The 13,747-nt window shown below is 45.0% G+C and overlaps 1 protein-coding gene across 1 annotated transcript, besides 1 other annotated feature; it reads left to right on the top strand.

Moving 5' to 3' along the window:
* Window positions 963–1,730: an enhancer, noted in NCBI's record as "NANOG-H3K27ac hESC enhancer chr7:99484893-99485660 (GRCh37/hg19 assembly coordinates)". NCBI's record gives its function as "activates a minimal SCP1, AML or CMV promoter by ChIP-STARR-seq in primed H9 embryonic stem cells {active_cell/tissue: H9 hESC(primed)}" and the evidence as "EXISTENCE:reporter gene assay evidence [ECO:0000049][PMID:30033119]".
* On the top strand, window positions 11,967–12,938 carry OR2AE1 (olfactory receptor family 2 subfamily AE member 1). The gene has a single exon (NM_001005276.1). The coding sequence runs from the start codon at window positions 11,967–11,969 to the stop codon at window positions 12,936–12,938; it is 972 nt and encodes a 323-aa protein (NP_001005276.1).
* Window positions 12,939–13,747: the final 809 nt, after the last annotated feature.

Genomic DNA, 13,747 nt, shown 5'->3' with positions numbered 1-13,747 from the left:
CCTAACCGCGAGTGATCTGCCAGCCTTGGCCTCCGGAGGTGCCAGGATTGCAGACGGGTCTGGTTCACTCAGTGCTCAATGGTGCCCAGGCTGGAGTGCAGTGGCGTGATCTCGGCTCGCTACAACCTCCACCTCCCAGCTGCCTGCCTTGGCCTCCCAAAGTGCCCAGAGTGCAGCCTCTGCCCGGCCGCCACCCTGTCTAGGAAGTGAGGAGCGTCTCTGCCTGGCCGCCCATCGTCTGGGATGTGAGGAGCCCCTCTGCCTGGCTGCCCAGTCTGGAAAGTGAGGAGCGCCTCTTCCCGGCCACCATCCCATCTAGGAAGCGAGGAGCGTCTCTGTCCAGCCGCCCATCGTCTGAGATGTGGGGAGCGCCTTTGCCCCGCCACCCCGTCTGGGATGTGAGGAGCGCCTCTGCCCAGCCACGACCCCGTCTGGGAGGTGAGGAGCGTCTCTGCCCGGCCGCCCCATCTGAGAAGGGAGGAGACCCTCCGCCCAGCAGCCGCCCCGTCTGAGAAGTGAGGAGCCCCTCCGCCCGGCAGCCACCCCGTCTGGGAAGTGAGGAGCTTCTCCGCCCGGCAGCCGACCCGTCCGGGAGGGAGGTGGGGGGGTCAGCCCCCCGCCCAGCCAGCCGCCCCGTCCGGGAGGGAGGTAGGGGGGTCAGCCCCCCGCCCGGCCAGCCGCCCCGTCCGGGAGGGAGGTGGGGGGGTCAGCCCCCCGCCCGGCCAGCCGCCTCGTCCGGGAGGTGAGGGGCGCCTCTGCCCGGCCGCCCCTACTGGGAAGTGAGGAGCCCCTCTGCCCGGCCAGCCGCCCCATCCGGGAGGGAGGTGGGGGGTCAGCCCCCTGCCCAGCCAGTCGCCCCGTCCGGGAGGGAGGTGGGGGGGTCAGCCCCCCGCCCGGCCAGCCGCCTTGTCCGGGAGGTGAGGGGCGCCTCTGCCCGGCCGCCCCTACTGGGAAGTGAGGAGCCCCTCTGCCCGGCCAGCCACCCCGTCCGGGAGGGAGGTGGGGGGGTCAGCCCCCCGCCCGGCCAGCCGCCCGGTCCGGGAGGGAGGTGGGGGGTTCAGCCCCCCACCCGGCCAGCCGCCCTGTCCGGGAGGTGAGGGGCGCCTCTGCCCGGCCGCCCCTACTGGGAAGTGAGGAGCCCCTCTGCCCAGCCACCACCCCGTCTGGGAGGTGTGCCCAACAGCTCATTGAGAACGGGCCATGATGACAATGGTGGTTTTGTGGAATAGAAAGGGGGGAAAGGTGGGGAAAAGATTAGAAATCGGATGGTTGCCGTGTCTGTGTGGAAAGAAGTAGACATGGGAGACTTTTTATTTTGTTCTGTACTAAGAAAAATTCTTCTGCCTTGGGATCCTGTTGATCTGTGACCTTACCCCGAAACCCTGTGCTCTCTGAAACATGTGCTGTGTCCACTCAGGGTTAAATGGATTAAGGGCAGTGCAAGATGTGCTTTGTGAAACAGATGCTTGAAGGCAGCATGCTCCTTAAGAGTCATCACCACTCCCTAATCTCAAGTACCCAGGGACACAAACACTGCGGAAGGCCTCAGGGTCCTCTGCCTAGGAAAACCAGAGACCTTTGTTCACTTGTTTATCTGCTGACCTTCCCTCCACTATTGTCCTATGACCCTGCCAAATCCCCCTCTGTGAAAAACACCCAAGAATGATCAATTAAAAAAAAAAAAAAAAAAAAAGCCAACCAAAAAAAAAATCCACCCATAAACTCTTTCCCATGCTTCTTGATATACAAACAGGATTGAAAATAAACTGTCAGTTGTAAACTAAAAATCCTAAGCCTCCCGTCTGACTGAATGAACCCCCTCTTGGCTAAGGGGACTCCGGAGAAACCTGAAAAACAAATTTCTGGCCATGATGGGCTGAGAAGTTAGACGTGTCTCAGGTGCACCTCCTCCCTTTTGGAGTTTAGACACAACAGCTGCCCAACATTAATATTAAAATAGAGACAACAGGATTAACAAAATGGGCTCTGTGACAATAAGATACCAAATTATAAATAAGACCTAAGGCCATGACAGACCTTAAGTCACACACCTTTACAGGTTAGTCTGATGCAGTGAATTAGCTAACAGACTTCCTGTCCTTCAGGGATGTCCTAGAAAGGGGCTGTAGTGCTGCAGTTGTCCACTTTCCGGTGGTATCTGCATATCATGCAGACCTGTCTGCAAGCTGAGGAGCAAGGAAGCCAGTCAGAGTCCCAAAGCTGAAGAACTTGGAGTCTGATGTTTGAGGGCAGGAAGCATTCAGCACAGGAGAAGGATGTAGGCTGGGAGGCTAAGCCAGTTTAGCCTTTTCACATTTTTCTGCCTGCTTTATATCTTGGCTGTGCTGGCAGCTGATTAGATGGTGCCCACCTAGATTAAGGGTGGGTCTGCCTTTCCCAGCCCACTGACTCAAATGTTAATCTCCTTCGGCAACACCCTCACAGACACACCCAGGATCAATACTTTGCATCCTTCAATCAAGTTGACACTCATTATTAACCATCACAATACCCATATATATACACACTTCTAGAATTATTTCTTTGTCTACCCATCTATATTTATATTCAGCTAAGCATGAATTAATACTAATGTCTCCAACTGTAATCCAGCTCCATGAGATTCATTCTAGCCTTCCCTCCTTTCTTATCATCTGTAATTTTCTTCTCTGATCATCCACCATCTGTTTATTTATAACCCCATCATACACGCAAAGCAGATTCAGAATTGTTAACCTGTATCCCAGTGAGAAATTTATCAACTGGAGTACAGTGTTTGTGCACAATTCCTTTTATTTTTCACCTTATGTTTTTCCATCAAAACAGCATTTTCCAAAGTTATTCAGCTCCTTCCCCTACCACTCCATTCTTCAGTGAGATTGTGTAATAAAGATTTGTAATATAGTTAGAGTCATCCTCACAGTCTGCATTTCATCCTGGAATTCTTTGAACATCCTGTTTAATTTTTAAAATTTTGTGTATATCAAAGTTCACTCCTTGTTGATGTATGGTTCTATGGGTTTTGGCAAATGCATGAGTTATGTATTTATCACTCCAGTACCAAATATAATAGTTTCATCATCCTATCATTACCCTGTGTATCCGCTTTGTAGTCATCCACCTGCCCTCCCAACCCCCAGGTGGGAGGGCAGGTGGATGACTCCCAATGTATTCTGCATATATTGATATAATCATATGGTTTTTGTTTTTGGTTCTGTTTATGTGATAAATTACACTTACTGATTTGCATATGTTGAACTAACCTTGCATCCCAGGGGTAAAGCCTACTTGATAGTGGTGGATTACCTTTTTGATGTGCTGCTGGATTAGATTTGCTAGCATTTTGTTTGTTTGTTTTTTGAGATGGAGTTTCGCTCTTGTTGCCCAGGCTGGAGTGCAATGGCCTGATCTCGGCTGATTGCAACCTCCGCCTCTCGGATTCAAGCGATTCTCCTGTCTCAGGCTCCTGAGTAGGTGGGATTACAGGCACGTGCCACCACGCCTGGCTAATTTTTGTATTTTTAGTAGAGACAGGGTTTCATCATATTGGTCAGGCTGGTCTAAAACTCCTGACCTCACGTGATCCGCCCTCCTCGGCCGCCCAAAGTACTGGGATTACAGGTGTGAGCCACCAAGCCCAGCCAAGTATTTTGTTAAGAATTTTTCCATCTATGTTTTTTTTAAGGATATTGACCTGAAGTTTTCTTTTTTTGTTTTGTCTCTGCCATGTTTTTGTATCAGGATGATCCTGACCTCATAGAATGAGGTAGGGAGGAGTCCCTCTTCAGTTTTTTGGATAGTTTCAGCAGGAATGATACCAGCTCTTCTTTATACATCTGGTAGAATTCAGCTGTGAATCCTTCTGATCCTGGGCTTTATCTGGTTGATAGGCTTTTTATTACCAATTCAATTTTGTAACTTGTTATTGGTATGTTCAGATTTTTAATTTCTTCCTGGTTCAATCGTGGGAGATTGTATGTTTCCAGGAATTTAGCCACTTTTAGTAGGTTTTCTAGCTTGTGTGCATGGAGGTGTTTGTTATACTCTCTGAGGTTTTTGTTTTTTTTAAATATTTCTATTGGGTCAGTAGTAATGTCCCCTTGTCATTTCTGATTGTGTTTAATTGGATCTTCTCTCTTTTTCTTTATTAGTCTATCTAGCGGTCTATCAATCTTACTTATTCCTTCAAATATCGACTTCTGGTTTCATTGATATTTTGTATGGTTTTTTTGCACCTGAATTTCATATAGTTCAGCTCTGATTTTGGTTATTTCTTGTCTCTTACTGACTTTGGATTTGGTTTGCTCTTGTTTTTCTAGTTCCTCAAGGTGTGATATTAGGTTGTTAATTTGAGATTCTAGCTTTCTGATGTGGGCAGTTAGTGCTATAAGCTTTCCACTTAATACTGCTTTGGCCATGTCCCAGAGATTTTGGTATATTATATCTTTTGTTCTCACTAGTTTCAAAGAATTTCTTGATTTCTGCCTTCATTTCATTGTTTACCTAGAAGTCATTAAGTAGCAGGTTGTTTAATTTCCATGTTATTGTTTAGTTTTGATTGCTATTCTTATTATTGTTTTCTATTTTTATTGTTTTGTGGTCTGAGAGTGTGGTTGGTATGATTTTGGTTTTTTTGAATTTGTGGAGAATTGTTTTATGGCTGATTGGTTGATTTTAGAGTATGTGCCATTGCAGATGATAAGAATGTGTATTATGTTGTTTTTGGAATGGAGAAAACACAAATAAATGAAAAGACATTCCATGTTAATGAATTGGAAGAATAATATTGTTAAAATGTTCATATTACCAAAGCAACCTACAGAATCAGTGCAGTCTCTATCAAAATCCTGATGGTATTTATTACAGAAATAGAAAAAAATCCTAGAATTCACATGGAACCACAAAAGGCCTCAAATAGCCAAAGCAATTTTGAGCAAGAAAAACACAGCTGGGGACATTACAAGTCCTGATTTAAGACTATATTCCATAGCTACAATAATCAAAACAGCATGATACTGATATAGAAGTTAAAAAGGAATTATTTAGGCAGTTAGTAAGGGTAAAAGAATTCTCAGTGGAATTTCCTTTTAATAAAAAGCAGCCCCCACATCATTTCTTTTCTAACAAAAATCAACCTGAAAAATCAAGCTGCAAGCATTGATACACAAGCTGGAAGCTTGCATAGGTGAATACTGGCAGCCGTGCCGATACCAAAGAGATACCTGGAAGCCAGGTACATCCAACATGGAGGTTTTCTCCTCCCTTCTCTTTGTTGCCAAATGTGCAGATGTCATGGTGCTGGCCAGGTGGAGATCCCACCTGTATAATAAAAGATTAGGGTGGGATGGCCAGCCTAATCACGGGCTATGTAAATGGCACACCTGGTCCAACCAATCCCATGGGCCCTATGAAAATCAGACACTGCCTTTCTAAGCCCCTCTATAAAGTCAACTGCATCTCACCCCAAACCTGGAAACCCACTTTGGTTCCCTTCCTCTGCATGAGGAAGCTCTGTCTTCTTTCTTTCACTTTAATTAAAGTTCTGCTCTTAAACCCACTCCTTGTATGTGTCCTCATATTTGATTTCCTTAGCACAAGACAACGAACCTTGGGTATTTCCCCAGACAAATGATGTCGCTTCAGTATTGGCATAAAAACAGACAGATAGACAAACAGAACAGAATAGGCAGTGCAGAAATAAACCCATGCATATACAGTCAGCTTATCTTCAACAAGTGTGCCAAGAATGCACAATAAAGACAGGATAGTCTCTTTTCCATCCTGGCCAACGTGGTGAAACCCCGTCTCTACTAAAAATACAAAAATTATCTGGGCATGTCGGCATGTGCCTGTAATCCCAGCTACTTGGAAGGCTGAGGCAGGAGAATTGCTTGAACCTGGGAGGCAGAGGTTGCAGTGAGCCGAGATCACGCCATTGCACTCCAGCCTGGCAAAACAGTGAGACTCCGTCTCAAAAAAAAAAAAAGAAAAGATAGTCTCTTTAATAACTGGTTTTGGGAAAACTGGATATCCGCATGCAAACAAAGAAATTAAACCCCTCTCTTACACCATACACAAAAATCAGCATAAAATGAATTAAAGACCAAAATGTAAGACCTGAAACCATAAAACTCCTAGAGGAAAACATAAGGGAAAAGCTTCTTGACATTAGCCTTTATAATGATTTCTTGGGTATGACACCAAAAGAAGGCAACAAAAGCAAAAACGGGCAAGTGGGAAGACATCAAACTCAAAAGCTTCTGCACAGCAAAGAAACGATAAAAAATAAAAATAAAAAGCCCACCTATTGAATGAGAGAAATTATTTGCAATCTGTATTAGGTTATTCCTCCATTGCTATAAGAAGTACCCAAGGCTGGGTAATGTATAAAGAAAAGAGGTTTAATTGGCTCATGGTTCTGCAGGCTGTACAGGAAGCCTGGTGCTTGTGTCCGATGATCTTCTTGGGAGGCCTCAGGGAGCTTTTACTCACCGTAGAAGGCAAAGTGAGAGCAGGTAGGTCACATGGAGAAAGCAGGAGTGAGAGAGAGTTGGGGAGAGTGCTACACAATTTTAAACAACCAGCGAATATCAGTGAAGCAAAACATTTTAGGATTTGAGTTGAGATGGAGAAACAAAGAAGAGGTCAACATATCCCTATAATGGAAAGGAAGGGCAGGGTATGAGAATGATATCGGAGTGCATAAGAAGGAGAGGTAGGGTTATGCCATTTTTTCCTTTTCCCTCTGTGTCTGAAATCTTTTTCTTTCTTTCTTTCTTTTTTTTTTTTGGAGATGAAGTTTTACTCTGTCACCCAGGCTGGAGTGCTGTGGTGCGATCTCAGCTCACTGCAACCTACACCTCTCGGGTTCAAGTGATTCTCCTGCCTCAGTCTCCCGAGTAGTTTGGACTACAGATGTGTGCCACCATGCCTGGCTAATTTTTGTATTTTTAGTACAGACAGGGTTCTGCCATGTTGGCCAGGCTGGTCTCAGACTTCTGACCTCAAGTAATCCACCTGCCTCCATCTCCCAAAGTGCTGGGATTAAAGGTGTGAGCCACCGCACTCGACCTGAAATCTCTTGACATGTTATATTCATGTAGTCTATGAAATTGGAGTACGATCAACAGCTAGGATGGGAACTGCCTGCCTCTATTCCTTGACTTCTTTCCTATGATATGGCACATGGAAACCCTCAAAAGGGTCCTGTGGGCAAAAGAGACTAGATATTATTACTCAGACTGTCTTCTCAAAAGGGTTGCGTGGAAAGGCGTTACAGAAATCTGGGTTCCCAAGTGAAAAACAATCAAGGGACTCTAAGAATTTTTTATCTCCACAGTTAATTGGCCCCTGAGGAGAATATTCTCCTGTTATCTTCAGGCTCACTCCGCAAAATATCTCATTCTCCTGATCACTTGGAACAAACTCCAAGTAAAGCCCTTTGGGGATGCTTATCTCAGTGCATACAGCACAGTCTAATTGACATCTTGAGTAATGGTCTCCAGAAGCCATGCAAGATGTGTCCTCTGGGATGGAATCCCTGACGCCATTCTATTTAGTGTCCACAATTTGCTTCAGCTGACATAGGTCCTCTGGGTTAGGGGGATGTTTTATTTCTCCCAGATGATGTCTGTTTTTTCTTATGATTGGCTCACATCAGACCAAGAATGTTCTTACTCTAACCCCCATGATTACTATTGAGAAGACATTTATGCAGTCAGAAAAGTGCTTCCTGACTGCATCAGCCAAATTCATATTTTATTAAGTAGGGAAGGAAGTGTAAAGCTAAGAAGAGAGTGCCTTGAGAGATCCAAAACAATGGAAAACCATAACAGATTTTCTTTTGACTCTGGGCACATTCATGATTAAACTGGTATTCAGTTTACCTTCTTAATAAAGTAATATTAATGGAAATTCCTATTGCCCAAGCTCCGATATTGGAATGGAGGGTTGTCTCAAATATACATATAGAGCCAGAGGAAGCATATGTGTGATTCAAAGGTCCAACTAGTAGAGGCTAAAGTTCAGTTACTTAATCTGTCCTGATGTGTGTTGATGGAGCTCACAATATGAACACACATGTGTCCCATTGGTCCTGGTGATATTCTGCCATTAGGGTAATTAGTGCAAACAACAATGCCTGCGTTGGGGCAATTTCTTCTATGCCGTTCCACAGTAAATGTAACGTAAATGGAAATTTCCAGGCTTAGGGAAGGAAGTCTGGTGAGCACCTCAGAAAAGGCTTGTTTTGATCAACAGTAGCCAACAGGTGGGTCAGTGTGGACCTCTCTTGCCCTCTGCATTTCATTTCTATGCTTTGTCTTCCTACGAGTCTCTGCAGGGAAATAACAGGTAAGATAATATTAGGGCTTGAGGTATTTAGGAAACCTTTATTATAAATTAGGGCATTGTCAGCTTATCCCTTAAGTCAATCCATAAGGAAAGCTTCCTTGGAAGGCAGAGAAAAAAAAAAGTCACTTGAAGGCCACAAATCAGAATGGGAAATTATTAGCAAAGTTGCTGAAGGGAGGAAGAGAGACACAGGTCAGATGGTGAAAAACTTACACCATGGAGATTTGTAGAGAAAGATGGACACTAATGTGGAAAGTGATAGAGAAGTATATGGATACTTAAATAAAAGGGAAGTGTGTGGAGATCTCTAATGGGTTGGAGTGATCAGGAGGAGCATGGGAGAAGTTGAGCTTCTAGTCCACCAGAAGCTGAGTGTGAAATAACAGTGTGAAGTGACAGCCAGAAAGATGAGACTGTAGACTGCATTAGGAGAGAGACAGTAATAGATGTGACTTTTTTTTTTTTTTTTGAGACAGAATTTTGCTCTTGTTGCTCAAGGTGGAGTGCAATGGTGTGATCTCGGCTCACTGCATCATCTGCCTCCTGGGTTCTAGCGATTCTCCTGCCTCAGCCTCTGGAGTAGCTGGGATTACAGGCATGCGCCACCACGCCCGGCTAATTTTGTATTTTCAGTAGAGACGGGGTTTCTACATGTTGGTCAGGCTGGTCTCGAACTCCTGACCTCAGGTGATCCACTTGTCGTGGCCTCCCAAAGTGCCAGGATTACAGGCATGAGCGACCGCGCCCGGCCAGATGTGACCTCTTTCTTACTGATCAAATGCTTGGGAGAATGCATTCAGTTCTGAGTTCTTTGCTTTAAGAAGTAAATAGATAATCGTCACCGCATGAAGGTCTAGAAAGACATTTAGGAGAAAAAACACAAAAAAGAATAGGGTGGATATTTGAGGAATCAATTAAGATTACTTTTTTTTTTTGAGACAGAGTCTTGCCCTGTCGCCCAGGCTAGAGTGCAGTGGCACAATCTTGGCTCACTGCAAACTCCACCTCCCGGGTTCAAGGGATTCTAATGCCTCAGCCCCTCGAGTAGCTGCAATTACAGGTATGTGCCACCAAGCCTGGCTAATTTTTGTATTTTTAGTAGAGACAGGGTTTCACTATGTTGGCCAGGCTGGTCTCAAAGTCCTGACCTCAGGTGATCTGCCTGCCTTGGCCTCCCAAAGTGCTGGGATTACAGACCTGAGCCACTGTCCCCTGCCTGAAATTAACAATTATTAATACATCTTATGTTAGATACGGGGGATGACAGAGGAGAAGAAAACAAATATTCAGTACACATACACACACACACAGAATAAATGCCCATAACTATTACAGTTTTTGTTTCTGTAGCTGCTCACATGGTTTTTGGCTGGTATTTATAACGACTTGCTTTCACTACCCATTCCAATTCTCTTTGTCTACAGTTATTCATGACTCTTTGCCTGGTGGGGTAACCCAAACCTTTATTCCTGAAGCATCTGGGCCACTAGCAGTCTTGTCTGAATTGGGTTGTAGTTTTCTATTGGCTTACATCATGAGACATGAGAGTACACCCTAGAAAATCTGACTGCAGACATAATTCTCCATATCCTCACTGTATAGTAGTGACTGAATTTCCCATTGCTAGTCAGAATCAGTCTTACTAGCCAATAGAGTAACCTTATTTGCCTATTGATTCAGTTCTATGAGGAGCCCCAAGTGGCATGGTGGCAGTCTTAACTATCAGAAAATGGGATTATTGTTGTGACACCTGGTAGAAGAATTTCTCCCTTTGGAACTAAGACCTCTAAAACAGCAAAAGCTAAAAGTGAAGGGATAGAAAACTAAAATTGTGCTGGTGGGTCACAGTTATGGGGGCTATAGTGAGAGGACTCATTCTCTCTTCTACCTGGTGATTTCTGGTTCCATGAATCTTGCTATGGGAGGAAGAGCAGCATAAATTGGATGCAGATTTAGAGTATATTTCACATCCTAGAGGACACTGCCCCAGCACCAAAACGTGTTGCCAACCAGATGGTCTTCAAAAGGCCTTCCCTTGGATTCTCCTTTAGTTTTTCTGACTTCTGGGTCAGGTGTGTGCATTCTTTTTTTTTTTTATTTTTTTTTTTTTATTTTTTTTTTTAAGACGGAGTCTCGCTCTGTTGCCCAGGCTGGAGTGCAGTGATGCGATCTCCACTCACTGCAAGCTCCGCTTCCTGGGTTCACACCATTCTCTTGCCTCAGCCTCCCGAGTAGCTGGGACTACAGGCGCCCGCCACCACGCCCGGCAAATTTTTTGTATTTTTAGTAGAGACGGGGTTTCACCGTGTTAGCCAGGATGGTCTCCATCTCCTGACCTCGTGATCCACCTGCCTCGGCCTCCCAAAGTGCTGGGATTACAGGCGTGAGCCGCCGCGCCCGGCCAGGTGTGTGCATTTTTAATCTGGCCATTAAGAAGCGCCCCAGCGGCCGGGTGCGGTGGTTCACGCCTGTAATCCCAGCACTTTGGGAGGCCGAGGCGGGGGGATCACGAGGTCAGGAGATGGAGACCATCCTGTCGAACACGGTGAAATCCCCGTCTCTACTAAAAATACAAAAAATTAGCCGGGTGTGGTGGCAGGCGCCTGTAGTCCCAGCTACTACGGAGGCTGAGGCAAGAGAATGGCATGAACCCGGGAGGCGGAGCTTGCAGTGAGACGAGATCGGGCCACAGCATTCCAGCCTGGGCGACAGAGCAAGACTCCAACTCAAAAAAAAAAAAAAAAAAAAAAAGAGGCGCCCCAGCTTCTGCAGGATATCCACACCGCCAATTTCAGAGACAACAAGAACTGACATGGGTTTCAGTCTGCCTTTGTGGGATTGCAGCTCATGCTTGTGGGTTCCAGCATGACTTTGATCTGCCACTCTTTATATCCATTTTTTTTTTCCTGACTACTTGCCCTCTGGAATTAAAGTTCCAGCATCAGACACAAAGGTAACAGCCACGCATAGATTGCCTAACCAGCTTCCACAATTGTATAAGAGAAATCTCTTAGTGTTATAGCTTTTCTAGTAAAATCCTCACTGATAAAATAAGCAACGCCCCCAAGCTTTTCTCCAAACTGTCTCTCTGTGTGTGTCTGTATAGAGAGAGAGAGCTTAAAAATCTGCCTTCACAAACATGATCACTCTGAAATCTCAGAATATCTAGACTCCATTAAGTATCAAACTTCAAGTCTCTTCTCATTAAGAAAGACAAATGTGTGTGTGTGTGTGTGTGTGTATACATATGTGTGTTTTGGAAGCCTAGGAAGTAAATGGGGAATAAATATATACACACATACATATACATACACACACACACACACACACATATATATCTTTCTTAACGAGAAGAGACTTGAAGTTTGATAATAGAGTCCAGATATTCTGAAATTTCAGAGTGATTATGTTTGTGAAGGCAGATTTCTAAGCTCTCTTTTAAAAAAAGGTTATTTGAATAATTAGAGAGGTTGAATAATTAGAAACGGAAATTTTTTTCACAGGTTCTGTCCTCTATCAAAAGGTGCTTTTCCTTGGGTATACTGGACCCCAGTATTTCCAGTCACACTCTTTATCTCCACTCTCTGTTTCCTCAGGGATTGAGAAAGGGGACAATGTGGCAGAAGAATCAGACCTCTCTGGCAGACTTCATCCTTGAGGGGCTCTTCGATGACTCCCTTACCCACCTTTTCCTTTTCTCCTTGACCATGGTGGTCTTCCTTATTGCGGTGAGTGGCAACACCCTCACCATTCTCCTCATCTGCATTGATCCCCAGCTTCATACACCAATGTATTTCCTGCTCAGCCAGCTCTCCCTCATGGATCTGATGCATGTCTCCACAATCATCCTGAAGATGGCTACCAACTACCTATCTGGCAAGAAATCTATCTCCTTTGTGGGCTGTGCAACCCAGCACTTCCTCTATTTGTGTCTAGGTGGTGCTGAATGTTTTCTCTTAGCTGTCATGTCCTATGACCGCTATGTTGCCATCTGTCATCCACTGCGCTATGCTGTGCTCATGAACAAGAAGGTGGGACTGATGATGGCTGTCATGTCATGGTTGGGGGCATCCGTGAACTCCCTAATTCACATGGCGATCTTGATGCACTTCCCTTTCTGTGGGCCTCGGAAAGTCTACCACTTCTACTGTGAGTTCCCAGCTGTTGTGAAGTTGGTATGTGGCGACATCACTGTGTATGAGACCACAGTGTACATCAGCAGCATTCTCCTCCTCCTCCCCATCTTCCTGATTTCTACATCCTATGTCTTCATCCTTCAAAGTGTCATTCAGATGCGCTCATCTGGGAGCAAGAGAAATGCCTTTGCCACTTGTGGCTCCCACCTCACGGTGGTTTCTCTTTGGTTTGGTGCCTGCATCTTCTCCTACATGAGACCCAGGTCCCAGTGCACTCTATTGCAGAACAAAGTTGGTTCTGTGTTCTACAGCATCATTACGCCCACATTGAATTCTCTGATTTATACTCTCCGGAATAAAGATGTAGCTAAGGCTCTGAGAAGAGTGCTGAGGAGAGATGTTATCACCCAGTGCATTCAACGACTGCAATTGTGGTTGCCCCGAGTGTAGAGTGGAATAGGATAAGCTCCTTAAATTAATTCATATAAACCTCTAAAGTTTTTCAGGGAGATAGCTTCCTTATGCTGTTTTACTACTGGAAGAAAAACACATTTAACACACAATTCCAGTATTCCAGCTTGGTGTCAGGTATCCAAGCACTGTGGAGAACATTTGAGTAGATCTTTAGAGAATTAGGGAAAACTTTTTAAAAAGTCCCTTTGAAAGAAGACATATAAAGGTCACTGACACCCTGAAAAAAAGAAGGCAAGATAAAGATATAAGGGCCCTTATCTATTATTATTTTTATTAACAAAAATATATAAAACATGCCACCAGAGAGTATTTATGGAGTTTAAAATTGGAGTGTGTTGCTTACTTTTGGAAGCATGGGAAGTAAATGGTGAATGATGGCTGTTTGAAAGGGAGGATGCATGATATAAAAGTTGTATTCTTTTTTTTTTTTGTGACGGAGTCTCTCTCTGTCACCTAGGCTGGAGTGCAGTGGCACGATCTTGGCTCACTGCAACCTCCGCCTCCCAGGTTCAAGTGATTCTCCTGCCTCAGCCAGGAGTAGCTGAGTATTACAGAGTAGCTGGGATTACAGGCGCGTGCCACCATGCCTGGCTAATTTTTGTATTTTTAGTAGAGACGGGGTTTCACCATGTTGGTCAGGCTGGTCTTCAACCCCTGACCTCAGGTGATCTGCCCACCTTGGCCTCCCAAAGTTCTGAGATTACAGACGTGAGCTACTGCACCTGGCCCTAAAAGTTATATTCTTAGACCCTTAGTGTTCCATGAATCACAGTGTGTAAGAATTC

This window comes from Homo sapiens, chromosome 7 (genome assembly GCF_000001405.40).
Source record: "Homo sapiens chromosome 7, GRCh38.p14 Primary Assembly".
Taxonomy (NCBI): Eukaryota; Metazoa; Chordata; class Mammalia; order Primates; family Hominidae; genus Homo; species Homo sapiens.
Note: the sequence above shows the minus strand (reverse complement) of the source record. Positions and strands in the feature narration are given on the sequence as shown.

What these genes read in the sequence shown, in the direction of transcription:
- OR2AE1 (NM_001005276.1), top strand. Translation starts at nt 11,967, where the DNA reads ATGTGGCAGAAGAATCAGACCTCTCTGGCAGACTTCATCCTTGAGGGG.